Genomic DNA, 27,624 nt, shown 5'->3' on the forward strand with positions numbered 1-27,624 from the left:
AGCAGCTTAATTAATTTCTCAATTTATCCTAATAACACACTTTTATGAGCACTGCACTAAATACCAAATGACAGCCTTATGGGCATTGAAACCTTTACATAATGAACATATTTTGGTAGGTGACAAATCATCAAGTCTTAATTGTTCCCTGGGGCCATACCTTTGGGCTCTTACAATAACCAAGACTTAAGAAGTTAAAGTGAATTTGATAAAATTCAAGATGGAATTCTGTCTGCATAAATATGTTAGAGAAATAATTCTAAGTGTGCTCTGAAGAATTATGTCTCATAAGTGTAATCAGAAACGATGGAGTATTCCATGAATACATACTAGAGAATAGCTGGGTAACATGAACTCTCTTTCAAAAGGACTTTAAATTGCCAACGTATCAGACAGTCATGGATCCAGAAGATTAAACATTCCACAGAAATTCTGAAAAGTACGATAAAGTCTAGGTTTTAATAAATTTTATTTTTTCCACTTTTTTTTTTTTTTTAAGTGCACAGCTCTCATTTGCCAAATATTGTGTTAGGCTACAGGTTTGCAACGGCAGAGAAGACAGTTATGATTCCTATCTAGTACTTACCATTACACGTTTATACTTTAAGTAAATGGTATGTGTTTTACACTCCCTCACAAATCAGTACCAATTATGATTAATGGTTCTAACCTAGTTGTGGTAAATATACCAAATATAACCTAGTTGTGGTAAATATGAGGTAACTATACCAAATATGGTTAATGGTTCTAACCTAGTTGTGGTAGATATTAAATATTTGTGCCCCGTAATGCGTTAAGTCTTACTTTCTATGTAAAAAGTCTTGTATCTTTAAATATTTGGATTTCAAAAACAATAAGCATGTAATTCTTTATAGCATAAAATGCTCAATCATTTGTGCTAATGTGAAAGGCCTATACTTTCCAATGTTTTCGTAATTTCAAGAAGTCTGTTTGTGTTACTGCAGAGGCAAATTTCCACCCAGTAGAGGATGCTCGAGTTTACATACCCGAAGAACAAAAGTGTTTTCAATAGAAGAAAACATTTTCAACAAATGAAGAAATTAAAAAGTGCAGGAATTAGCCAACAAAAGAGAAAAAGCATATCGTTTGCTAGATCAAAAGAAAACTCATCATAAGTTTTCAAGTTTAAATGTTTACCGGATTAGTTTCCAGTTTTTTTCGTCTTGATACTTAGCAGGGAATGGTCTCCAGAGCGAAACCAGAGACGCATCAAATCCTGGCACTTTCCGTTTGTTCAACCCCGGAGATGCCTTCAAATCAGTTTTTCAACAAGTGGTGGTGGGGAAATAGTTTCTGGGCTTGCACCCGATTTTCCCTGTGGTGCCAGGAAGTCATGCCTTTACTGTAAAACACGAAAAACAAATGGAAGGAAAAAATGGGGGACGGAAGGAGGGTGACTGAAAAGATGAACAAGAACGTCAACAACTGCCACCACGCAGGTGTTTCTAAAATCACTTTATAGGTAACTACAAACCCGATCCCAACGTTTACCCTAACACTTCCCCTCCCAGGTCCTCCTCGGTGGTCCGCCCGCTTGGCACCTCCTCCAGCTCCCCAGGCCCGGGGGTTCGGGCGGGGGCGGGGGAGAGGCGGGGCCCGGGACGTTCCCGGCGTCTGGGCTCTCTCCTCCGGCGCCAAGCCCAGCACGCCGGCGCCCAGCCGTCCCGACCCCGCTAGCTGGGCAAGGCCGAGTCCCAGGTGCCAGCTGTGGGCCCGGGAACTCGACAGCCGACTTGGCGGCAGTCTCAAGGGAGGCGGCGGCAGGCGCCTGGCGGAGGCGGCCGCTGTCAAGCTTCCCGTCTCCTCCCTCTTCCTCCCTCCGACAACTGTGCCCCAGCCCCGCCCCCGGTTCCAGCTTCTGGACGGAAGGCCCCGGGCCCAGAGCCCGCACCAACGGTCGGGCCCACCCTCGGCCTCCCTAGCTCCTTGGTACCGTAGGATCGAGGCCGCCGTTAGGGAAAGTGGACGAGGCCCGGCCGGAAAGGAAAAGAAAAGGAAGAAAGAGGAGCAAGGGAATAAGGGAGGAGGAGGATCCGTCGCTGCCGCCGTCGCCGCCGTTGCCCGATCGAGCCCCGCGGCGGCCGCCGTGTCCCCCGCCGCGCCCCGTCCGCCTGCACCGCCTATGGCAGAGCCCGTAGGCGGTCCCCAGCAACCGCCGAGCAGCATTGACCAACAGACGGCCGGTTTATCAAACAGACTGTCGATTTCACCAATAGTAGTGGAAAGGCGGGCATGAACATGATTGGCAGCTTGCGTCTTCCAATAAAAACTGGGGGCGTGGGTGGGCGGAGCCGGAAGTAGAGCCCAGCCGAGAGGCCCCTGTCCGGCTAGGGAGGAGGGAAGGGGGAGGGAACTAGAGAGGAGGAGGAGGTTAGCCTAGGCATCTACGGCGGCGGCGGCGGCGCAGGGGCTGGTACGCGCTGGGCGGCGAGAGCCTCATGGCGGAGGAAGAGAGCGACCAAGAGGCCGAACGCCTCGGAGAAGAGCTTGTGGCCATTGTGGAGTCCCCGCTGGGCCCTGTGGGGCTTAGAGCTGCGGGCGACGGCAGAGGCGGCGCTGGCAGCGGCAACTGCGGCGGCGGCGTCGGAATCAGCAGTCGGGATTACTGCCGACGCTTCTGTCAGGTGAGGCGTCCGTTGGCCGCCCCGACTTGTCACCCGGGTCCTGGGCCTCTCTGCGTCTCCTGGTCTTCTCGTCCATGAATCTGGTCTATGTCCAGTGCCCGCTCCTCCCCAACAAGGAGGGTGAGGCTGAAGCTCCCTCCTCCACTTATCCGGCTTGGGGTGGGGGGCGGGGAGCAAGGCGAGGGTGACCCACGGGCTTAGGGTTGCTGAGAAAGTGAGTTTGTCGGGGATGGAGGGGCTGGAAAGAAGGAAGGTCGGCTGTCCGGAAAGCTCTGTCCTGACATGCCTTCCCTACCCCAAACAGACCTTCCTGCCCGAGAGTCCCGCCTTTCTTATGTTTCCTACCCTGGTCTTTCTCACCTCATTTGGCACCTCTGGTAACATTTTCTGCCTTCCCCTCTCCGCCGATTGCCCCCCGTGTTCTCCCCTTTTTTTCCGGGATGGGAGACATGCCATCTTTCCTGTCACTGCCACTGTTCCCCCTCTTCTAGGGTCTCCTGTCATCCCCTCACAAGATCCCGCTGGGCCGGTTCTCCAGTTGGCGTAGACGCTGACCCACGGTGATTTAGTTACTTTTTTCGGACAGAGAGTGCGTTAAGGCAATGTGATTGTCTTTTTTTTTAACCTCCTTCGGTTGACACACGCACTCTTTTCTAATTAACTGCTCATAATGAAAGTAATTTTCCTTAAACTCTTGCTCCGGTTAACATCACCAACCCCCCTCATCCTTCAATATATAATGTATTTTATTTAGCCTGTAAAATACAGTGTCTGAACGGTGACATTAAATTATTTACTCAGTCGACCGTCACAGGGGTTTGATGTTGTTCAAAGTGTTTGTAATCAAATATAACAAATATACCCCTACTTTTTTAGGGGTAAAGTTTGTGTACTCTGCATTCTCATCTACCTGCATTTGTAATTTAAACGGTTTGTTCCCATTCACAACAATCTTTTTTTGCAAGCTATTTTGGGGAAAAAAATTAACTGCTCCTTTTCCATCCCATCCCTTTTAAAATGCGTCCATTAATTTGGGTGTATAGGGTTCAGATTCTGGCTCCACCATCTCCTGGCAGAAATTATTACCTTGGACAAGTTACTCTGTGTCTCAGTTTCCCCTTCTGTCAAAGAGGAGTAATAGTTAAATAAATATGTGAAGGGTTTGAATCAGGTAGCTATTAATTTCGTTCTGATAACAAGTAGGAAATAAAGTTAATGAGAAATGGACATCATGTTTGCTGACATTTCTTTCAATGCTTGTAAGGGATTTTTTCAATGCTTGTAAGGAATTTCTTTCAATGCTTGTAAGGGAAAGCTTGTAAGAATTCCCTTACAAGCATTGAAAGAAAAAGGATGGAGTTGACATTTTTCAGGTAAGTTTTTAATGCTTTAATTTAAATTGCCTTTTGATTTAATGTTTTCCCCCAGTGTCATAAAGAAGTTGGTTTGAAGAGTATGTCAGTTTCTTTGGCATTGCTATTTAATGACTTTCTTGAAAATGTATTTTTATTTTGATAATTGGCATTCACTTTTATTTTGATAATTGGCATTCACTGAATTTAGAGGTTCAGTGTCTTGTTTTCAGAGCACTTGTTTTGTAACTATACCTTTTACATCTAGAAACCACGCTATTGGTAGATTTTGTATCTATAGGAATTGTAAACTTCTGAAAATTAGGATACAATTTATATTTTTAATATATTCAGGGGCTGAAAATCTATTTAATTTGTTTGTTTTGCTTTTTATATCAACAACCAGCTACTAAAATTTTAGAACAAATGACAAATTTAGCCTGCAAAACACAGTGTCTTAATAGTGACAGTACAATATTTTAACAACAAATGAAGTTGACTACTTTATGACTTCGCTACCTCCTGTATATCCAAGGAAATAAAACAGGAAGAACTTAATGAACGTTTATTTTCTATTGCTAAATTATGTTAGACTGACATACTTTCATGTTACCAACTTTTACCTGAAACATAGTTTATTACCTGAAACTTTACATATTTTATAATACTCTAGGTTACTGAGAGATCTGCTCTGAGGTTTTGTCCTGGTTTTACTTTGCAGGTGAGCTTTGTGAAGTCCTTTTTTATATTAAAGCTTTTAGATGGAATAAAATATTCCTTTATTAAGTTGAATTTTATCTACTGAGAAATAAAATTCTACCATAGTAATTGCTTCATTCGTCAGTAAGGGAAGCAGGGGGATTATTTAATCTAATTCCTAGTCGAAGATTTCTTTTTAAAAATTTGGTTTTCTGACACTGAGGCTAATATTAAGTATAATAATTTGTTTTTATTAGTGAATGACTTAATCGTGAGTAATGCAATGGATATTGTGCAGTTGGGGTATGTGACAGTTAACTAAGTACATGAATTATACAGACAGGCTAGTGGTGTTTCAAAGAAAGGCTCTGGTTTATCTTCCTCTTTTTAGAGGGAAATATGAATCAAAATTTCTTGGCAGTTAGTTGTGTGGGCAAAGGGAGAGAGGAAGGAACACTTCTTTTCCAGAGGGGTTTTTGTGTCTTTTACCATAAGGAAAAGTAAAACAGAAGATACAGTGTTAATAATATTGGACTGGCCCTATCACATCCTCCCTTGGCTCTTGTTAGCTGACTCAATAAATGCTTAAATAAAACTGGCTCTTAACTGATACTTAATTTGCTTTGAGGATGAAAGGTAGGGGAAAGTAACTTTTATGGAAGGCCTACTAACTCTTAAGCTTCAGACAGCAAGTAGCATAGTTGAAATTGAGGCATGAACAAGTTAAGGTGTCTTAGTTTCCATTATGTAGACATGCTGGGATTTGAACTCAGTCTTCAGTTTCTGCTGAAAAGCAGTAAGTAAATCCTCAATTATAGAGGGGAGTTTTTTGTTGTTGTTGCAAGTGATGTGAAAGGAAAAAGAAGTTACTGGAAATAACTTGGTATTATGGATGAAAAGTTTAGAAAGTACTCTTTCATTATGACACAGTAGTAAGAAATACTTCAAGAAGCAGACTGTTATTGTCTGACTTGTTAAGTGCTGTAAACACTTTTCTAATTCCTGAAAGTTTTAATAATTCAATTTGTCACCAAATACACTGAATTTTTTGTCATAAATTGATTGTAAACTAAGGAAGTTAAGATACTTTCTTCTTAGTTCAGTGCCAGAATGAATATAATGAGTAATAAAAAAGGATTTCTGGAACCACTTTGATATGTTGATTGAAATATAATTTAAAATTATTTCATACTACAGTGGGGTTAATAGTCATGCCACGAGGATGTCATGAATATAAAAAGAGAGAAGAATATAATGTACTTAGTATTGTACGTAGCACACAGATAGACTTAAATAGGTAGATGCTATTAATATTTCTCTCGTAAAATCCTCTGAGGATTTATGAGGGACATTAGAGATAATCTGTAGGTAGCTTATAATTTGTGTTTCGCAGTAAACTTGAGAGAAAATTTAGAAATGTTACAATTCTTAAATTCTGTTATTTAATTAGAAAAGCGGAATGCTCCTGGTGAAACACAATGATTTGTAAAACAACTGTGGCGGGGTTCTCAGAGATTTTGTTTCCCTTAGGAGACATTTGGCAATGTCAGGAGATAGTTTTGATTGTCATGATTGAGGTTTGCTGCTGACATCTAGTGCATGGAGGCTAGAGATGCTACTGAACATCCTGCAGTGCACAGGATGGCTCTAACAACAAAGAATTATCTGGTCCGGAATATCAGTAATGCCGAGGTTGAGAAACTTGGCTGTACCCTTACTTTGGGACTCTTAGTGGGTACCTTTTATGCGTAATGCCGATATAAATGGCAGTAAAGTTTTTAATGATCCTCAAATAGTTTTTAAGTAACGACTGTGGGCCAGGCACTGTAATAGGTGCCTTAAGAGATGGTATTCACAGAAAAGAGAGTTTGTCCCATGGTATTATAAAATACATTCTAATGTCTCTTAATTTAGAGAAATTAAAATTTGTCTCAGGAAGAAACAATCCTTATTTCTTGGTCTTGATATAGGATTTACATAATACTTATTATAGCTCTATGAATAGTTTTCTAGGGTATAATACATTTTTACTAATTCTTGCTATTAATTGGGATTATTTTTAATTTATCTTTAATTTTTATTAATGTACTTAGTTTTAAGAAGTCATATAAGGCCTAAGTATCAGGAATTGCATTTTGGTGCTAATGGAGACCTGACTTAAGTGGTTCAAACAAGGTGGGCATTTATTATGTAAAAAAATCTTGAATAGATAGTGTAGGGATGGTACAGTGGCCATACTATCATTTGCTCTTTCTTACTAGTCATCCTTGTCTTAGCATCCCGAGTTTGTGTCATGATCCAGGGTAGTTGCTTGAGTCCCAACTATCACGTCTGACTTCCCAGTGGCAGGAGCTGGTTGTCTCTGTGGTGTAAACCAAAACAACTTGTCCTAAATCCTACTTAATGACCCACTTTCATCTTGTGAGTTATCCCCATCTGAAAAGAATGTTAGGAAATTTTTCTAGATTTTTGTTTCTTTGATCAACACATGCCTATGATTCTGTCAGTATGGAAGAAAACAAGAATGGATATTATTGAATAACGAGCTTCTTCTTTTTTTTTTTTTTGCCACAGCTTATAACAAAAAATAGCAGTCATGCCCTGTCCTCTTCCTTTCCTACTTCTTATTCTCCAGAGGCTATCACTGGCAACTCTTTCAGTTTTGATATTTACCTCTATATTTATAAGTAATTTTTTCCCTAGTTGTTTTAGATGGAATCAGTTGGCCTAGTACAGGAAGGAGATAGGGACTATCTTACTGTCTCACTATTGATCTCACTATTGAGCATGTTCACTATGTACACTTTGATTATACCCCGTTTTTGTTTATCCCTTTCCTTCCTGCTACCCTCTTTGTGTCCAAATGTTCAGTGTCTTCAGAGAATTAGGAGTTAGTTGCCATTGTTTTGTTAGGGGAGGGATCTGGGGGAGATTTTGAACTGATCTTTTTGTTTCTGACTCTGTTTTCACATCTTTTGGAGGTATGTGGTACCTCAAATTCCTGAGATGTTCTGGGGTTCTGGGGTTGATTCAAGCACACATGAGCTTGTTCCCAAACTCCCTCTACTGATGGCTTGGCTTTCAGTTTCTTGGGTCTGTTAAGCCAGTTACCACCCATCCATCTAATTTCCAACTACCCATCTGTAGATATCTCTCCTTTTTCATTGCTTTGTCCAGTGGGTTTAGCTCTTTTAAAACACAAATATTTTTACTGTTATTTTAGTGGAGTTTTCAAGTAGGATCAGACGTAAATGTGGTTCAATCTGTCACATTTAACTAGAAGTCTCAAATTAGTTTTCTAGCTCAGTAAATAATAATATGAAAGATGAAAAGGAAAGTATTGAGGATAATTTGCAGTCACTTATTTACTTTTGAAAGAGTATCCTATTTTCTGATCTATTCTGTGGTGAATATCCAGAGCTAGAAATAATTTAATTGCACTGATAATTTTTTAATTGCATTGATAATAATTTTTAATTGCATCGATAATTGCATTGATAAATTTAATTGCATTGATGCAAAATTATTTTTATTTCTCAATTGCAAATGAAAATTTTAGCTTTTTAAAAAGTTTTCAAATTTTGGCACATTTGGGATATTTCAAGTCTTCATAAAAGGTGAATTCCCTGGAAAGACATCAACTCGTTTATTATAATTAGGAAAAAACAAAACAAATGAACCTTAGATGTTGACGGCTGTATTTGGGGAGCTAAATCCTTTTTTTTTTGTTATTGTTGCTCCTTAATGCCTTTATAGGTTGACTTTCAGAGTTGAGTTGAACTGATTGTTCATAATGACGTTGTTTGTAATAGTAAATCATTGAAAACTACCTAAATGACTATTATTAGGGGAGTTAGTACATATAATGTAATCCTATGTCCCTTTTCCCTAAACAATCATGTATTTAAAGAATATTTATTCATACGAGAAACTGTTTATAGTGTAACTACTGAAAAGACACAGGACACAGGTGATTTCACCTTTGTAAATAAAAAGACTGAAATATACCAAAGTGTTGTTAACTTTGTGGTGGTATGCTTATGGCTGAATTTTATTTTTTACATTTTTTTTTTAGTTTTTTAAAAATTAAACCTACTTTATAATCAAAGAAAAAATAAAGTATATAAAATAAATTTCATTTTCTTTTCCTACCTCACAGATTGTTTATTATTATTATTTTTTTGAGACAGGGTCTGGCTGGCTGTGTCGCTCAGGCTGGAGTGCAGTGTTTGCCATCTAGGCTCACTGCAACCTCCCTGTCCGGGGCTAAAGCGCTTCTCAGCACCCATCAGCCCCCACCCCCAGTAGCTGGGACTTCAGGTGTGCACCACCATGCCCGGCTAAATTTTTGTAGTTTTAGTAGAGACGAGGTTTTACCATGATCTGCAGGCTGGTCTTAACTCCTGAGGTCAAGCGAGTCACCCACTGTGGCCTCCCATGATGCTAGGATTACAGGCATGAGCTACCGCGCCTAGCCCTAGATTGGTTATTTTGTACAAATAGATACAAGATTATTTTGAGTATGATGAAATTTTAATTCTTTGTTTCCCCAAAGCATGTGAGATGCTTTTTTAAAAAAATGAATTGGTTAAATAAACTTATGAAAATCATTTTAGAATGACCAATGAGGTTCTAAACTTCAGTGACTTTTTTATACACAGTCTTTCATTAGATACATGACTATTATTGCTTTCCAAATAACCACTCACTACATTGCTTCAGAAAATCTATCCGTGCCAGGGTGTGGTGGCTCACACCTGTAATTCCAGCACTTTGGGAGTCCAAGGCAGGCAAATTGCTTGAGCTCAGGAGTTCGATACCAGCCTGGGCAACATGGTGAAACCCTATCTCTACAAAAAAACAAAAATTTAGCTGGGTGTGGTGGCACACACCTGTAGTCCCAGCTACTTGGGAGGCTGAGGTGGGAGGATGGCTTAAGCCCAGGAGGCGGAGTTTGCAGTCAGCTGAGATCTCCAGCCTGGCTGACAGAGCGAGACTGTGTAAAACAAACAAACAAACAAACAAAAAAAACAAAAAAACCTCAATTTTAATTTTGTAGATAAAATGGCAGGAGGAAATATATTTAAATGGAGTCATTGCTTTTAAGTTTTTTAGTTATATCATCTTTTCACAGTTCTGCCAAACACAAGTAAGGCACCATTTGTACTGTTGTTACTGGCACTGAATTTTCTTGCTTTCCTGCCAAAATGTGCTAAACTACACCTTAAAAATTACAAACAAAAACAAAAACAAGAACTTTACGAAACCTGTAGTAAAATATGTGTCTGGTAAGATATGTGAAGAAATAAAATAAGATCAATTAAATCTGGCCCATTGAATGACACATTAATTGTATATTAATATGTAATGTTAAAGATATTAGGAGATGGTGGGACATTATGGCAAACTAAATTTGGGAGGAGGTTGAATTGTATAATTTATGAAATCCTAAAGTCTAGTACATTAACACTCTCTACTGTCAACTTTTCAAAGCAGTGGTGAATACAAAAACTGAAAGACTCCATCTAAACAGTAAAAAAGTCACTAATGTGAAGGTTGAAGCTTGTCAATTATATAAGGCACTGGGGATACAGTGGTAAGCAAACAGACATTGCCCAATTTTGTGTGCAGTTATAACTTTGGTAAGTGCTATGAAGAAAAGATACGCAATACTATAAATGGGAACTAATAGCTTGACTATGTATATTTGGATACCTGGGCAAGTTCTGCTCTACTGAGATCCTTTCGTTTGGTTTGATATGTTGAATTTAAGGTGCTTTTGCCTCATCCAAGGAGAGATCTTAGAGATAGCTGGACTTAACAGAAGCCAGAGCTCAAAAGGGAGGTCCGGTTATCATAGCCGTGTGGATGGTATTCGAAGTCATATGTGTGAATGAGCTCACATAGGGAGAGAAAGTAGACTAGGAAAAGGAGGACCTTAAAACTAAAGCTTGAGGAGCCTCAAAATTAAATGTCTCAGTAGGAAAGGATGAGTCTTCAAATAAAGTTTGAGAAGGATTAAAGAGGTTTCAGAAACCCAGAGAACTGTGGTGTCACAAAAGGCAAGGAAAGAGAATGTTTTAGGATGGGGTGAATGGTAACTGGCATTGCAAACTGTTGAGATCCAATCGTTGAATTAACATGGAGTCTTGGGTGACTCTAAACAGAGCTGTTTTGGTGTAGTGATGGGATCAGTAGTCAGGTTGGAGTAGTTCCAAGAGTGGGAGGTGAAGGAATAGACAGTAAGTACAAATAACCTATAAAGGAGAAGGAAAGATATGGTGGTAACTGGAGGCATTGTGGATTGAAGGTAAAATTTTCTTTTCTTTCTTTTTTTTTTTTTAGTAAATTGGTGTGAACTGTGTACACTTAAAATCTGGTGAGAATGATCCATTTGAAAGGAAGATACAAATCTACAAAAGAAGGGATTATCTATATTATAAGACCCCTGAAGGGGAGTAAGGACAACACTCAAAGCACAAGTGGAGGGGTGTTGCTTTATATAGGAGTTTTGTGGTAGGAGTAAAGTTCATCTATTAAGAGTACATGGAGGTGGTTGGTAGCTGATTAGAGAGGTATGTTGAATTGACCCACAGAACCATTTGAATTTGATCATTGTGAATGCAGAGTGACCATTAGTATGTACCTTTGTTCATCAGTGCTTATTTGTCTCGGTGAAGGTGTGAAAAATGAGTTACATTCATTCAGGATTAGGTGTAGACTATGATAAATCAGTTAATTAACTTTGAGACAGAAAGGGACAGGTTCATTTTCGGGCTCCACTTGTGGCAAAACATAGCACAGAGAAGTGAAGGGAGAAGAAAAGTGGTTGTATCAGTACATATTAATAGACAGGTGCACAAAATTGTTCTGTGTACTGTGAAAATAAGTGTGCATATATAATGTCATAACAAAACATGTACAGGTTGTTAATATGTATTTCTACAACTAGAGTTTATTGACATCAACCAGTATGTTTTGGTTACTCTAAAGTTGAAATATTATAAATACTCTTCCCAGTGATTTGATGTGTGTATGTTAATGTTTTTAATATCTGGAAGCTATTATTGGAATGCTTTATATATGTATATGCTGTATATATGTATATAACTCATTTTGAATGCTTTCCATGAATCAGGGATTGTGATAAGTTGTTTACCTGTTTTAGCTCATTTAATCCACTACCCTACAAGCTATGTGCCATTATTCTCATTTTTATAGGTCAGGAAACTAAGACCAGAAGAGATGGCTTGACCAAGTCCTGTACCTAGTATGTGATAATCAGACTGTAACCTAGCCAGTTTGACAGCCAAAAGCCAGCCCGTGCACTTAGCCTCTGCAGTGCAATACAATACATTGTATTGTATCTAGGAATAAGCATTTGGTATCTATTGTACCATCTATGCATATATATTTGATATATACTGTAGCTTACTAAAGCAGTTTTGATTGAGTGGAAGCAGTGGAATGGACACTGTTAAAAAGACTCAAGGCAGCAGAAACTAAAGATGTTCATAAATGTGAAACAGAAGAAAAAAATCAAATTCAATCTAGCAGAAGTTCCCCATCAGAAGTGATTCTCAGGCCAGGCGCCGTGGCTTACACCTGTAATCCCAGTACTTTGGGAGGCCGAGGCAGGTAGATTACCTGAGTCCAGGAGCTCAAGACCAGCCTGGCCAACATGGTGAAACCCCATCTCTACTAAAAATACAAAAATTAGTCGGGCATGGTGGTGCATGCCTGTATTCCCAGTTACTTGGGAGGCTGAGGCAGGAGAATCACTTGAACTCTGGAGGCGGAGGTTGCAGTGAGTCTAGATGGCGCCGCTGCACTTCAGCCTGGGTGACAAAGTGAGACTCTGTTTCAAAAAAAAAGAAAGTGATTCTCAACTCTTAGTCCACCCCCCAACCCACTTGAATGGGATATGCTTAGATGAGATAGTAACAATGGCTCAGTTATAACTTTTCTTCATAGCACTTATCGAAGTTATAACTACACAAAACAGGACAATGTTTGCTTACCACACTATATCCCCAGTGCCTTATATAATTGGCAAGCTTCAACATTCACATCAGGACTTTTCTGCTACTTAGATGGAGAGTCTTTCAGTTATTTTTGTATTCACCACTGCTTTGGAAAGTTGACATTATAGAGTGTTAATGTACTGGACTTCAGTATCTCGTGTAATATATTACACAAATTATAGCAGTTCTCAAAATACCAAAGTTATGGTGACTGCAAACCAGTAGAAGTTATTTTATGTTTATTATCTTGTGTTTTGAAAGCAGGAGAGTATGGGATGTGTTTTAAATGTTTATCCTAAATGATTAAAGTTTGTCAGTCTCTCCATATTTAGATTTAACCTTGAATATCTGGAAATCCTACCAGTCCCAAATACAATGGATGTGTTTTTTTGGCCTTTATCTGTCGTACTGTCATTTGACAAATCTCTCAAATTATAGAATTTATTTTTAAAGTCTAAAATTTACATATATTCCATGCTCATGAGAGTATGAAGATCTCTTTTTCAGCTGATGGGAGTACAGATCACCACGACTTTTCTGGACTACAATTTACCAAGATATTAGAAACCTTAAAATAATTTGTACCTTTTGACTTAGTCATTTTTCTTATAGCATTCACTTCTGAGGAATTATAAATTTGGACACAATACTATTCTTCATAACATTAATTATAATTAATGTAATGAATGAAAATAGGAAACCAACCAGAACTTCTAAAATAGGTGAATATCTTTTCATCTCCCATAAATTAAAATTTTATGCAGCCATAAAAAATGATCTTTTCAGTGTCCACGTAATGATTGAGGTAAAGTTTTATTTGCATTTTCTTGGTGAGCAGATCCAAATTTCTTTTTTTTTTTAATCAGATTCTTTTAAGAATTTCAAAACTTGCCAAACAAATACAACCCAACAATAATTCAGACATACCAAAAAAAGTTATGAACCTTTGCTATACGCCACTGTGGCAAAGGCAACACTGCCTGTTTTTTTTTTTTTTTTTTTTTTTTTTGCAGATCATATTGGTGTTTGCCCATTTAATTTTATATACTCTGTGATTGCTTTCATGATACAACAGCAGGGCTGAATAATTGGGTTGGAGAAAGTATGGCCCATAAGCTACTTTTTGGCCCCTTAAGAAAAAAAGTATGTCAGTTCCTGTCCTAGATTCTCGTTTATCCTTTGCAAAAACTCTGTGAAATAAGTACTGTTTTTATCGTCATTTTATGAATGATGCAGCTGAGACTCAGAGAGATTAAGCAACTACCTTAAGACACACAGCTAGAAAAGGGATCAAGATGTTAATAGTGGTTATCTGTGGGCAGTGCAATGATGGATACTTTTTTTCTCATATATTATCCAAATTTAATATAGTGAGTGTACATAACATAAAACATAATCAAGCTGAGGGAAAGATATAAAACGTAGGTAGAGAGTTGTGAGAATGTTAAAACTCATTCATCGGTTCTCAATTTATTACTTTGATTTCCTGCATATCATCCTGTCATCCTGTGTTTATAAACTTAGAGTAGATATTCAATTTTTGCTTTCCTTCCTGGCATCTAAAACTATATTATGCAGTTCCCCAATTCTTGATTTTATTTAAAAAGTAAGAAATTATTATCTCGTTTCTTAAAAACTTCTGTATTGGGCCAGTAGTGGTGGCTCGCGGCTGTAATCCCAGCACTTTGGGAGGCCAAGGTGGGCGGATCACCTGAGGTCAGGAGTTTGAGACCAGCCTGGCCAACATGGTGAAACCCTGTCCCTACTAAAGACACAAAAATTGGCCGGGTGCAGTGGCTCACTCCTGTAATCCCAGCACTTTGGGAGGCTGAGGCGGGCGGATCACAAAGTTAGGAGATCGAGACCGTCCTGGCTAACACGGTGAAACCCCATCTCTACTAAAAATACAAAAAAATTTGGCTGGGCGCGGTAGCGGGCGCCTGTAGTCCCAGCTACTTGGCAGGAGAATGGCGTGAACCTGGGAGGCGGAGCTTGCAGTGAGCTGAGATCGCGCCACTGCACTCCAGCCTGGGTGACAGAGCGAGACTCCATCTCAAAAACAAACAAACAAAAATTAGCCGGGCGTGGTGGCGGGTGCCTTTAATCTCAGCTATTCAGGAGGATGAGGCAAGAGAATCACTTGAACCCGGGAGGCAGAGGTTGCAGTGAGCTGAGATCGTACCATTGCACTCCAGCCTGGGCGACAAGAGTGAGACTCCGTCTCAAAAAAAAAATCAAAAACACTTCCGTATCAAACTTCACTTTTGAAGCCATTTTGTACTGTACTTTTAAGACTTTTTATCTTCTCTCTTATATTTTGAAGTTAACTTCAACAACTATTAAATGCTCATAACTTGTAAGTGCTCATAAAATGCTGTATTTTTCTTGTCAAACAGTACATACTTTTTCTTACTATCAATCAGTTGAATATCCTTAGATATCTTAGGCATAAATCTACATATATAAAGTACAATAATTGAGTATTGTAGAGGGTATTCCTTTAAGAAAATAATAGGTACTGTGTGAAAAGCTTCATTTTAGTGATTATAGGGAATTTAAAGGAAAAACCATCCTTGCTCTAAAGGAACTGAATTATCTAGTAAGGGAGAAAAGGCATATCTAACTATTATTTCTGTCTATTATGACCCTGATCCAAACTATAGGTATCTTTCTCCTGGATTATTTTATTTCCCTGTTGCCACCTTTCCTCACTTTCAGTTTATTTTTTACACAGCAGTCAATGTGATCCTTTTAAAGGTATGAGTGAGGCCTCTTCCAAACCTTCCATACTTCTGTATCTCAGAGTCAAAGCCAAAATCCTTATAGTGTACTGCAGGGCTCCATAATCCTGCCCCATCTAGCTCTGTGACTTTTTCTTTTATTACTATACACTCACCAACACTAGTGTCTTTGCCACTCCTTGTACATATCTGCTTCTTGGCTTTTGTTTTGTCTGCCAGAAACATGTTTCATTTGGATATTATATAGTTTGCTGTGGGATCCTCCACAGATAGACTCTTATTAGAGAGATAGAGGCCTTCCCTGAACACCCCATGTAAAGCAGCATCCCATCTCTAGTATTCTTTTTCCCCCTTACCTGTGTTTTATTAATATTATATTTAAAGGTACTTAACACCATCTAATATATATTCATTTACCTCTTATCCCTCCACAAAAAAATGAAAGCATCAGTGAACTTGGTACACAGTAGGCACTCTAAGGTTTGAATAAATTAATGAATAAATATAAATAAACCCTAAAATAGGGAAAGTGTGATTAGTGCCACTATTTGAATTCCTATGCACGTTCACATGGAGAGACCATTTCTGATAGAGATAATTTGGAAAATTTTAATGGATGAAATAGGATTTGACTTGACTCTTAAAAAAATTGTTAGTTTTAAAATGTAGGCATGAAGAAAGGAAATAGTATGGGGTAGGTGGACATTTTAAGTAGAGGAGATAACTTGTGAAAAGATGGATGGCATGGCACATTTATGAATGGCAGTAGTTAATTGATTAGAAATATGGTTCCTAATGTGTGGATCTCCAGACCAACAGTATGAGCATCACCTGCAAACTATTAGCAGTACAAATTATTGGCTCCACCCAGACGTACAGAATCCGGAACTGTGGGACTAGGGTCCAGCAATCTGATTGTCACATTTTCCCAATGAGTCTAATGCATGCTAAAGTTTGAGAGCCACTGGACTAGAACATAAACTCAAAAAAGAATTGGTAGATAATAAGATTGGAAAAATAGATTGAGGCTTGGCTTAGGGGTTTGAATTCTGTGGGATAATACAGCATTAAAGGCAAAGTCATGCCATTATTAATCTTAAAATACTGTTTTAAGATACCACAGGAGGTAAAGAATGAAAGTCTACATAAAAAAAGTAAGCTATCGAAGTATCCCAGAAAAGGAATTGAGGGCCTGGCTGAATAAGTGGCTGGAACAATTTCAAGGAATATTATGTATACTAAAGTACTTAGCATTTTGCTAAAAGTGGAGACAAGGCACCAAAGAATTCTATGAAATTATACTGGGTTTCTAATCTAAATATCTGAGAGTATAGTGATGGTATTAACAATAAATGGTGGGAGGAATAATTAAGGTATCTAAATGAACAGTATAGTTTTGGTTCTATTGGGTTTGAAGAGTTAGTGCATTCTTCTTAAAAAAAGGAAGAGTAAAAATTGTTAATCAGTAGCTACAATGTACATTTTTATTAATCTTGAGTATATTTATCCCTATTTAATAAGAGAGCAGTGGATTTTCTAGTACCTTATGGTAAATATAAAACTCATAATTTATTTTCTCCTTTTAGTAATGTCTCAGTACTTAAGAGTATACGGCTTTTTAAGAGAGGCAGTTTCTGTGTTTGAGAAAGCTAATTAACCTGTGATAGTGTTTTAGTTTAAAATTTCCTTTCCAGTTTTAATTTGAGGTTTTAATTTGAGCTTTGGTACAGGGGATCAAATGTCCACAAAAATAAGAATCTACCAGATTTGATCATTTGTCTCCCATTTTTGAGTTCACAAAGAAAAATTAAAGTCTAGAGTCTAAAGACATTAAGATCCCAAATTCTTCCCCTTCTAGAGTATTACTTAATCAGAGCCAGTGGGTTTCTCATGTGCCCCTATGATTTAGAGATGGGTATTTTTCAGGAGCTGCAGCTTGGGTTTTCTTCCTCTGATTGGGAGTGGCTTCTTTTAGCCCTCTAAAGGAGAATTCTTTAACTTCCAGGCTCTTTTTATATCTTACTTTTTTTTTTTTTTTGAGACTGAGTCTTGCTTTATCGCCCAGGCTGGAGTGCAGTGGCTTGATCTCAGCTCACTGCAATCTCTGCCTCCTGGGTTGAAGCAGCTCTCCTGCCTCAGCCTCCCAAGTAGCTGGGATTACAGGCATCTGCCTCCATGCCTGGCTAATTTTTATATTTTTAGTAGAGACAGGATTTCACCATGTTGGCCAGGCTGGCCTTGAACTCCTGACCTCAAGTGATCCGCCTGCCTCGGCCTTCCAAAGTGCTGGATTATAAGCGTGAGCCACTGCGCCCGGCCTGTGTCTTACTTTCTTAAGAGTCTTGAAGATCAGTAGGGCAAACGTTTATTACTGCACCCAACCCAATACCCATTAAATTTAGAAATATACTAATATTTCTGTCAACTATACTATGTACTAAATTCAGGGAATTACTTTTGCCAGTAAAAATTAGTGATATCAGAAGGACGATGGATGCACAGAAAACAGGATACCAAGTGAATTTTGGTTTAAACCTCACCAGGCTCACCAGTGTGCCAGTTAGTTGTGCCAACTGCCAGTGTCCATAACTTGTGCTTATATTTTACTAGGAAAACTCATCAAGTGTTTAATTGTGCTACTGTCTGTTTGCCATATTTTGTGGAGGGTGCTCTTACCCTGACCATTTCCTCCTTCCTGAAAGTAGTATCCTAATTTCTGTCTTTTTGCAAAGTTTACAAATTTCCATGGACGGTAGCCCCAGGTACCTCATCTTAATTGATGTTTCCTACTTTATATTTCCATCATATTAAAAGCTTTTAATTTCTGTTTCTTCTGTGTTTTCCTGGCACTCCTTGTGCTGAACTAAGTGTGGAATCTGTTGAGTGGCACCACTTCTACTAGCTGTTATAAAGAGCATATCACTTACTTGTAGTTTGTAACGCTTCAAGCATAGTCATTTCCTTGCAGCCTCCACAACCTGTGTTCTGCTCTTGCATCTGTATTTCTCTAGACCCAAACATGTGCCAAGGCATTTTTAGTCTTGTGCTACCTGGGCTGTTGCCATGCCCCTTGAAAGTTCTAGGCCTATCATAAAAACACTCTTTTTGTGCCCTCATATTTGTATTATTTGGATAATAACCATGGAACAGGTACCTAAAGTGGAACTACTTTTGTTGTTTCTGAAGTCTGTGCTTTTAGGAGCCCAGTAAAGACAATATCTCTTCTGCTGCTTGCTCTTTTAGACCTTTTCTTTGCTCTGCTTTTAATTATTCCAGGCCTTGCATAATTTGTTCTACTTTATTGGCAGAATAAACATTCCTTTTTGTCACATTTCTTTCAGCAATAGTAGGATATGTCATTTCAGATAAGCAGCTGGTTTTTGTGTTTGTTTACATTTGAGCCTGTTATTAAATTTGCCTCGCCTATCTTCCTTTTTTTTTCTCTTGGTTTTTTTGTTCCTTCAGTTATCTCTTGTAGTGTCTTCCGTAATGTTAGAGAAGGAAAGTCAAGGAGTTCCAAGTGCATCAAAAAGCATTCAATATCAAGCAAATTTTGCTCACTCTTGTATCTGACTTAAGAAAAAAATCTTACCAGCACAACATCAAACCCAAGACTGACCTCTTAACTTTGTTTCTCTTCAGCATAGCTCTTCCCATTTACTTCCCTGAGACCTAACTTTGACTTTCTGGAGCACTTTTCTTTATGGCACAATGCCATACTGTATGTTGTCGTTTGTGGTAACTATTCATCTGAAATGCACCTGAAATGCTTCAGATATTTTAAGGTAATCTCCCTGCTTTTTAATTTATCAAATCTGTACAGATTTTATATTACTTGTATAGTAGTCTCAGTCTTCAAGGTGTGGTTTTTCAGTTGCTTTTATTATAGACTTTCTGCCTTTTAAAAAGCAAGCTTTTGCCATATTGCCATAGTTGGATCTCCGGTCTGGTTCACTCTTGACATTTCCATCCCATAGTTACCTTCTGTCCCTCAGTTAGGTACTTTTGTAACCAGTCACCCTTCCTTTATTATGAGTAACATCTATAATTTTTTTTCCCCATTTTCATCTTTAAGTACAGTTACTTCTGATATATATCTCCTTTTTCTTTTTTGATATCTGTCTAGTCTAGCCTCTAAGAGTGAACTTTTATTCCTAAGGAAGTCCCTCTTTTCTTTTATCTTAATCAGTATGCCCTCCTTTTATTTTTCTTTAATTTTTCCACTGTTAATTGTGAGTGCATCATCTGTTTTGTTTTGTTTTGTTTTGTTTTAAACAAATTTAGTTCTTGAAACCGAGCATACCTCATCCTAGAGTTGGTGTTTGTTCATCTGTTATTTTAATTTGATCTTCATGTACTTCTTGTGCGTATATTTTGGGGTTCCCTTGTCCATGCACCAATTTTAATATTTATGACGGAAGCATTTAATATATTACTCTCAGCTCTGATTTTGGAATCAAATGAAAAATTGGCAGGGATCTAAATTCATCTAAAGCCTTTAAAATGACCTGCTATTCATAAGAGGAAAGTTGGATCTTTAGGCAGATACCTAAGCTGCCACATGGAGGACTCTGACCTGCCTCAAAGGTGGTGCAAGTAGCTAACTCAAGAGGGATATGAGAACCAGACCAATACATTAACCTTGGCCAGGAGCTGAGAGACTCTTATTAGTATTGTTGATTTTACTTCCCTGGAGTAAAAGAATTTTAGGGAAGGAGGAAAATCATCCTCTCACTGGTATTTTTTGAGATAGAGTAAGTTCTTATTTTATAAACAGGAATGTAGAGGAAAAGAGAAAATGTTTGCCCCAAACTTACCATGTCCAGAATTTGGGAAGAAGATAAAAATATAAGAATCAGAATAGGGGAGGAGGATTGTGAATGAATTTTTGTTGTTTAGCCTTCTCAACTCATCTCTGTTTCACTCACCAATATAGGCAGTGTGCTTTCCATTTCTTTGCCCTGGCTTATGTTGGTAGTTACAAAAAAGAGAAAAAGTTGCAGACTTAAATTGTTTTTTTTTTTTTTTTTGAGACGGAGTCTCGCTCTGTTGCCCAGGCTGGAGTACAGTGGCGCGATCTCGGCTCACTGCAAGCTCCGCCGCCGGGTTCACTCCACTCTCCTGCCTCAGCCTCCCGAGGAGGTGGGACTACAGACGCCTGCCACCACGCCCGGCTAATTTTTTGTGATTTTTTTAGTAGAGACGGGGTTTCCCTGTGTATGGGGAATCATTGTTCTTCATTTAATTTATGAAATATACCCATGAAAAACTTGCATTTGTGGGAATGTCAGAAAAATTATACTGCTTCTGAGATAGGGAAACCTTTTCAAAATAACACATAGGAAAGATAAATGAAACATGCTGTAATACTTACTATTTTTATGTAAACTGACAGAATGCAATTTAACAGAATATTTTAAAAACTGAAGAAGTCACAACTGATTTTAAATATTAATGTCAAATATCTTGGTTCAAAGAGTTATTTACTGTGTGTTTAATGGAAATCATTTCTCAAAACCAAGGTTGTTTTTTAGTGTAGAAGTAATTCTGTATACTCTGTGTTGTAGCTTCACTGTATTTCATGAGTCACCAAAGCCCCTTGTTTTGTATATATGTTGAATTTTAGGTGACTATTATGAATGTAAATAAAACTACTTCATAGGTTGAATTCCTTTGTGAAATGTTGTGAAATTTCTTTGTATTTAATATAAAACATGCTTAATATGCTAATTCTGGAATCCCTATATTAGCAAGTATAATACTCTTTACATTTCAAACTATTGTGAATATCGGACTGATTTCTTTGTTAAACTAGTTAGTAGGGTTTTGATATATATTCTTTCCTCTTGGATGGAATTAATTCCTATAACATTATTTAATTTCATTCCTTCTTGTGCATGTTCATTATCTTCTATTAAATCAACTGGTATGAATGAAGGGGGTAGACCCTCTGCTTTGCATAGAAAAATAAAACTACTTCATTTTATTTTTGGAACTTCTAACAAGGTGAATGATTTTCAAATTGGTAACTAAATGTGGTTAAACGTATTAAAGCCCAAAACAGGTAGGGAAAGCTGGTAGGGTATTTTTAAATAAGTTTAAATCTCATCCCAGGATACTGGGGTAGGGGGTGGGACAGGAAGCACTTTAAGATTTGAAGATACAAATAACTGAAGAGATGCTGTTAGTTTAGATAGGGGCAAATATTCTGTTTTCCAAAAAGGTAGGTTATGGGAACAGATGGCCACTAAAAGTAGTATAATGTTGAGCAAAATTATTGAATGGTTAGAAAAGGAGCTCTTCATCTCTAGCCATCACTATGGGTTCATTAAATCAGGTCATTCCAAATTTTTGTTTCTACTTTAAAAAAATGGATTACTGGTAATGGATATGAGAGATATGACAGACTCATCATATATGGATTTCAGCATGGTTTTGTATACAGAATTTCTCATGGTATTCTTAGGGAGATGGGGGATGGATTAGTATTATTAACTGACTTAACACTGTTGACTAAAGAATACTGATTAATGGTTCTAAGGATAGCTAAGGAACTGAACTTGGTTCTATTATAAATTCTCTGTGAATTTTTTTTTGTATACAACTTTGATGATAAAAAACTAACTTTTCAGATTTATAGGTGACACAAACTGGGAGGAAAAGCTAATGTATTGGCTAAAAAGTCAGTGTTGAAGGTTTGGGCTGAAACTAAGAATGGGAAAAGTGAGAGGATTAACGTACAGTTATACCGTAAAAAATCAACTATAAAAAGTTATTGGATCTATATGAAAAAGAGCATTTTTGCTGACTCAACCTAAAGTAACTTCAGGCTACATTAATATTATCATCGAGTCAAAAACAGGGAGATGATAGTCCAACTAATTCTGACTAGAGTTGACTGAAGTCTTATGTTCCATATTGGGAGCTGTGTTTTGTTGAAGAGGAACATCCACATTTTGGAGCACAAACAGATATGCTAATGAGAACTGAAAATTTTGTAGACTATGGAGAAATAGTTAAAATGGATGAAAGGATAGCAGATATTTAATCTAGGAAGAGACTATAATAAAGATGTATGTGATAGCTGCCTTATAATATTTGATGGGACATTGCATGTTTTGTTTATATAATTTTAAAACTTCAAACTGGAACTGATAGATGGATGTCACATCTATCTATTTTTGTTTCATAATGAAGAATTTTCTAATAAAGTTATCTGTAAAGTTAAGTAAATTGTCATTTGAGATTGTGAATTACCCATCAGTAACAGTATTCATGTTGGTTAACTCTCTGGGAGTGATACTGTAATGGGTATTTTTGCTCTGGTTGGTAGGTTGGACTAGATAATCTTCAAGATTCCTTTTAACAGTATGATTGTATGGAATATTAATATTTAGAGATGCTTACTCCATTTTCCATTTTGAAAAGATTCTGTCTTATTACATTTACAGAACCTATCAAATACATTAATGTTGTATAAATATCAACTTTTAAGGAGTAGTGAGTTGAACAGTATGCTTTACTAAGCCCCCAGAAATACCAGGTTTTAGGTTGCTTGCTACTGTAGATTATGTTCTTTGCAGATTTCACACAAGTTTTAACTTAGAATGTATTTCTAAACCATTTTGGTGTTTTTTTTTAAAACATGACTTTTAGATTTCCATTACATGATTATACTGATAGAAAAGGTCAAATTGACAAGTGACTCTTTTTTTTTCCAAACAATTTATCTTTTTCATTCTCCAGGGAGAATTGTAAAAACAGTGAATCTTCAGGTATCTGTTCAGGCATGTAGCATTTTATTTATATTGCTGTATGTAGGATATGCATTGTTTGTCAGATGAGCATCGAACTAAATAGCTGAAACTCAGCAGTCGTTTTCAGATTTTATTTAGGAGTGAACTGTTTGCTTGCTAAAAGTGAGTAAAATTTGTTGTAATTAATCATACTTGGAAACATAATGAACCAGTTCATACTGATGTAATGAAATTGTCACTAAAGCAAGCTTAATTTTGTTGTTTTCTTTTCTTAAAACAAGGTGCACTAGTAATGGTGCACTTTATATCTGTACTGTCTTTATATCTGATAGCTCTTGTTTGTTACATGCCAGGAATTATCCTATATTTTAATATATGTCTTATTTAAATTTTCAATAGGCCTGTGATTAAAGTGATATTAAATTCATTTTATAGGTAATTTAGAATAGAAGTTTAATGATTTTGCTAAGGTTACCAGCTAATAAGTGACAGAGCTGGAATTCAAACCTAGGTCTGTCTGCTTCCAAAGCCTATACTCTTTCCATTCTGCTGCCAATTTACCTGCTTTATTTTTCCATCTGACTCTTAACCATAATACCTACAGGCAAGGGCAAATCTTGAGGTGCAAATAGGTAATAAAGTAGAAAAAGTAAATGTAGAAATCTGCTTATGTTATCAAATAACATCCAGAAAATCTATAACAACATTGAAATTTGAGGGAAAAGGTTGGAACAGACAGATTTGTTTTTAAATTTTTTAAAACTGAACTAATTTTAGACTTACAGAATGCAGTACAGCTATCAAGAACAGGAAAGTAACATTGGTACAATAGTCACAAAATTGTAGACCTTTTCAAATTTTTCCATTGATGTTCTTTTCCCATTCCAGGATGTTATCCGTGATCTCACGTTGTATTTAGTTGTTTCTCCTTAGTCTCTTCCAGCCTGTAACAGTTCCTCAGCCTTTCCTTGTCTTTGCTTGCCATTTTTGAAGAGCACTGATCAGTTATTAATATTTTGTAGAATATCCCTCAGTTTGGGTTTGTCTGATGTTTGTTTTCTCGTGATGGGAATCAATCTATGCATTTTTGGCAGAAGTGCCACAAAAATGGCATTGTGTCTTTCTCAATGTATTGTTATGAAGAGATTCATGATGATAATGTATTTTATTATATAGTTCACAGGTGATATTTACCTTGATGGCTTTAAGTTTATGTGGGGGTTTTCCACTGTAATGTTACTGTCTTTATATCTGTACTGTCTTTATATCTGTTGATAAATGTCTTGGGGGAGATACCTTGAGACTGCAAATCCTGCTTCTCCTCAAATTTTCACTCACTATTAGCATCGATGCATGGATGTTGTCTGCAACATTTGTCATTGTGGTGTCTGCCTAATGGTGCTTCTCTGTTTGTCTTTTTCCTTCTTTCACTGTAAGAAACAGCTGTCTCATTGCTAACATTTATTTAATTATTTGTATCAGTATGGACTTACATATATTTAATTTATTGTATGGATTAAAGTCCAATGCTATCATTATTTTGTTGTTCAAGTTGTGCCAGCTTTAGCCTTTAGGAGCTCCTTCAGGTTGGCTTCCATATTCTCATATCCTGTTGTTTTTCACAGCATTTCTCTACTTTCTGGCACCACAACAAGTTCCAGGCTCATCTTGTGTTTTCCCTGTTCCACCTCTGGAATCAGCTGCTTTGTTCCTTTTATTGGAGAATGGTATTTAGAGGCCAAGATTTGGGCACTAAGTGTGTTTACTGTTGCTGTAGAGTCATTGCTTCTAGGATCTCTCAATGGATAGCTAGGAAATACTTTTATATATACAACTACGTTACAAATGAATAACATAAGCATACTGAAGGGGGTAAGACTAACCTAATGTGTTTTAAAACATTTTAGGTATTTAGAAAATTAGCAAACTTATCAATGCACAGATTGTATTAGTCTGCGTTCAACAAATTCATACAGGAGTGTATCACAGCCATTCTTTGACGCCCCTAAAATGGAGGGTAATTGTGACACGTCTTCTGGTTTGTTAATCAATTTTTTTTTTTTTTTTGAGATGGAGTCTCGCTTTGTTGCCAGGCTGGAGTGCAGTGGTGCAATCTTGGCTCACTGCAACCTCTGCCTCCCGGGTTCAAGTGATTCTCCTGCCTCAGCCTCCCAAGTAGCTAGGACTACAGGCGCGTGCCACCACGCCCAGCTAATTTTTATATTTTTAGTAGTGACAGGGTTTCACCATGTTGGCTAGGATGGTCTCGATCTCTTGACCTTGTGATCTGCCCGCCTTGGCCTCCCAAAGTGTTGGGATTACAGGCGTGAGCCACCACACCTGGCCTGTGAATCAGTTTTTAAAAGTGGCTGGATTCGCTGTAAACAAATGATGAACTTAATATTAGTGAACAGCTTGAATGACACCTATGAACTGTGAGGTGTTTGAGGTAATGAAAGTTGATGACAATGGGAGTCTTCAAGGAGGAAAGAATAATACGGACGTGAATAGCCAACTAATAGAAATAAAGACATGCTTGATGCTGTGTTATTGATCTAGTCTGTTAATAGGGGTTTAGATATGAAGATCATTGTTTGCTCAGTGACAAACTAATGTTTGGTAGTTTTCTTTGTTACATTACAAAAAAGGAGAGCTCAATTAAGAAACAGATACTCATATTTTAGTTGATCACTTTATATGTTTAAATAGTTGTGTATTACTTAGGCTGCCATAGGAAAATGCTTGGTGGCTTAAACAACAGAAATTTATTTTCTCACAGTTCTGGAGGCTGGAAGTCCCAGATCAGGATGCCAGCGTGGTCATGTTCTGGTGAGGGCTCTTTTCATGGCTTGCAGATGACCTGTGTGCTCACATGGCCATTCTTTGGTGCATGTGCATAGAGAAAGAGAGAGGTCTTTCTGCCTCCTTCTCCTTTTCCTCCCTCCCCCTCCTCACTCCTCCTCACTCCTCCTCCCTCTTCCTCCCTCTTCTTCCTCACTCTTCCTCCTCCTCACCACCAATCCTACTGGAATAGGACTTCACCTTTATGACCTCATTTAAACTTAATTACTTCCTCAAAGCCCTGTCTTCAAATACAGTCCCATCGGGGGGTTAGGGCTTCAACAAATGAACTTTAGGAAGACAAAATTCAGTCCTTAACAATTTAGATGATATATTTTAGTGTTCCTAAATGATTTAATGTAATTTTAACTTAATAGTTTTATGTTGTTTACATTTTGACAGTTTTGACTGATGAGTCTTTTCTCATTCTCACATTAATTTACCTTGGTTAATTAAGATATGACATTTTATAGTATATACTATATCCCATTTAGAGCAGAGTATATGCTCTTGAAAGTGCTGCTGGATTATTAGCATAGTCTAACATCTTTCTTTGGCATCAGCTTTGTCCTCTTCAATTCCCTTTATATCATAGCGTGCTTCTGGCCTTGGCTATTGCTTCTGTCATCAGTGTTCCTATAATTTCTGTAAATATTCACTACAGTAATGTTTGTTATGCTCTTCAAAATGAGAAAAGGGTTTCCACGATCCATAAAAGATTGCTAGCCTTAATCTTCTGCTTCTTAGACCATTTTCTTTAAAAGTTTAGAACTGTAGTAAGAGTGGGTTTTTAAGATCCAGGAAAACACTATTCTTATTTGTTTTAGCAGCTTCAGCGTTATCCTGGCCACCATTATGTTAATGGCAACCTACTAGAATACCAAAAAAGAAAAAAAGTGAAAGATGTGGTGCTTACTGCCTTGTGGCCTTGTAGAACACACAGATTAGCTGAGTGCGTATGACAGCACTCACAGCATAGGAGAAAAATTTCATTTTAATAGGACAATGTAATGTACTTATTTTATATATATATATATATATATATATAGAAAATATTTCAAAGAGAAATAGTGTTGAAATAGTGTTATAATGAATTACAGTGCCTGACACGACATTAAACAATGTAAAACGGTATCTAAATTTCAGTTGATTTTGTTTATGTCCCTTTCAGGGTATTGTAGCAAACCTAATGGAGGTGTTGCCCACAAGGACTTTTATTGTGTTAGGTTTGGCCTCAGCTAGACTAGGCAAATACATTGGTAGCCAAACCTGGATGAATGAAGGAAGCTATAATGAGAACAGAACCTGAGAAAGTAGAAAGCTTCTCTTCTAAGGAGATAAACCCAACCCATAAATAGGGAGCAGATAAGGTTGCAAGTAAACATGGACTGGGAACAAGAAAAATGTGAGGCTGTCAGGTACCTATTTTTTATGTGGCACCGGAGTAGGGGTTTGGTAACCAGAGAAAGGCAATAAAGCTGGTCAAAGACTTCAGGGAAGAGAAAATTTAGAGCCAGGGAACCAGTGTTTTTTCTAACATTCCTCTTTTTTAGTCTGTAGTGATG

The 27,624-nt window shown here is 37.7% G+C and overlaps 3 protein-coding genes across 14 annotated transcripts in view, besides 4 other annotated features; 1 reads left to right on the forward strand and 2 right to left on the reverse strand.

Moving 5' to 3' along the window:
- The window catches only part of CGGBP1 (CGG triplet repeat binding protein 1), a 97,921-nt gene that overhangs the window by 4,911 nt on the left and 65,386 nt on the right, over positions 1-27,624 (reverse strand). Inside the window, exons 1-3 of one of the 3 annotated variants that reach the window (NM_001008390.2) lie at positions 1,955-2,145; positions 1,159-1,363; positions 331-432 (exon numbers count right to left, since the gene is read on the reverse strand). The gene's annotated coding sequence lies outside the window, so the exon portion shown is untranslated. Of the gene's footprint in view, positions 1-330; positions 433-1,158; positions 1,364-1,954; positions 2,146-27,624 lie in introns of those variants that run through there. The other 2 variants (NM_003663.4, NM_001195308.2) reach the window with 2 other exon arrangements.
- Positions 1,279-1,356, reverse strand: LOC128031834 (uncharacterized). The gene has a single exon (NM_001414731.1). The coding sequence runs from the start codon at positions 1,354-1,356 to the stop codon at positions 1,279-1,281; it is 78 nt and encodes a 25-aa protein (NP_001401660.1).
- Positions 1,480-1,889: a silencer, noted in NCBI's record as "silent region_14547". NCBI's record gives its function as "represses an Ori minimal core promoter by ATAC-STARR-seq in GM12878 lymphoblastoid cells {active_cell/tissue: GM12878}" and the evidence as "EXISTENCE:reporter gene assay evidence [ECO:0000049][PMID:35858748]".
- Positions 2,240-2,729: an enhancer, noted in NCBI's record as "active region_20115". NCBI's record gives its function as "activates an Ori minimal core promoter by ATAC-STARR-seq in GM12878 lymphoblastoid cells {active_cell/tissue: GM12878}" and the evidence as "EXISTENCE:reporter gene assay evidence [ECO:0000049][PMID:35858748]".
- Positions 2,240-3,104: a biological region, named in NCBI's record as "H3K27ac hESC enhancer GRCh37_chr3:88108555-88109114".
- Positions 2,395-27,624, forward strand: part of ZNF654 (zinc finger protein 654) — an 85,406-nt gene continuing 60,176 nt past the window's right edge. For all 10 annotated transcript variants that reach the window (NM_001366097.1, XM_017006789.3, NM_001350134.2 and 7 more), the window contains exon 1: positions 2,395-2,645. Coding sequence is in view for 4 of the 10 variants with exons in the window: in XM_017006789.3 (XP_016862278.1) it covers positions 2,460-2,645 (186 nt within the window). In the remaining 6 variants the exon portion in view is untranslated. The remainder of the gene's footprint in view (positions 2,646-27,624) is intronic.
- Positions 2,545-3,104: an enhancer, noted in NCBI's record as "H3K27ac hESC enhancer chr3:88108555-88109114 (GRCh37/hg19 assembly coordinates)". NCBI's record gives its function as "activates a minimal SCP1, AML or CMV promoter by ChIP-STARR-seq in naive and primed H9 embryonic stem cells {active_cell/tissue: H9 hESC(naive and primed)}" and the evidence as "EXISTENCE:reporter gene assay evidence [ECO:0000049][PMID:30033119]".

Source organism: Homo sapiens, chromosome 3 (genome assembly GCF_000001405.40).
Source record: "Homo sapiens chromosome 3, GRCh38.p14 Primary Assembly".
NCBI classification, from domain to species: domain Eukaryota; kingdom Metazoa; phylum Chordata; class Mammalia; order Primates; family Hominidae; genus Homo; species Homo sapiens.

Bases quoted from the DNA above. Each gene is read 5' to 3' on its own strand.
- LOC128031834 (NM_001414731.1), bottom strand. From the start codon at position 1,356: ATGACTTCCTGGCACCACAGGGAAAATCGGGTGCAAGCCCAGAAACTA.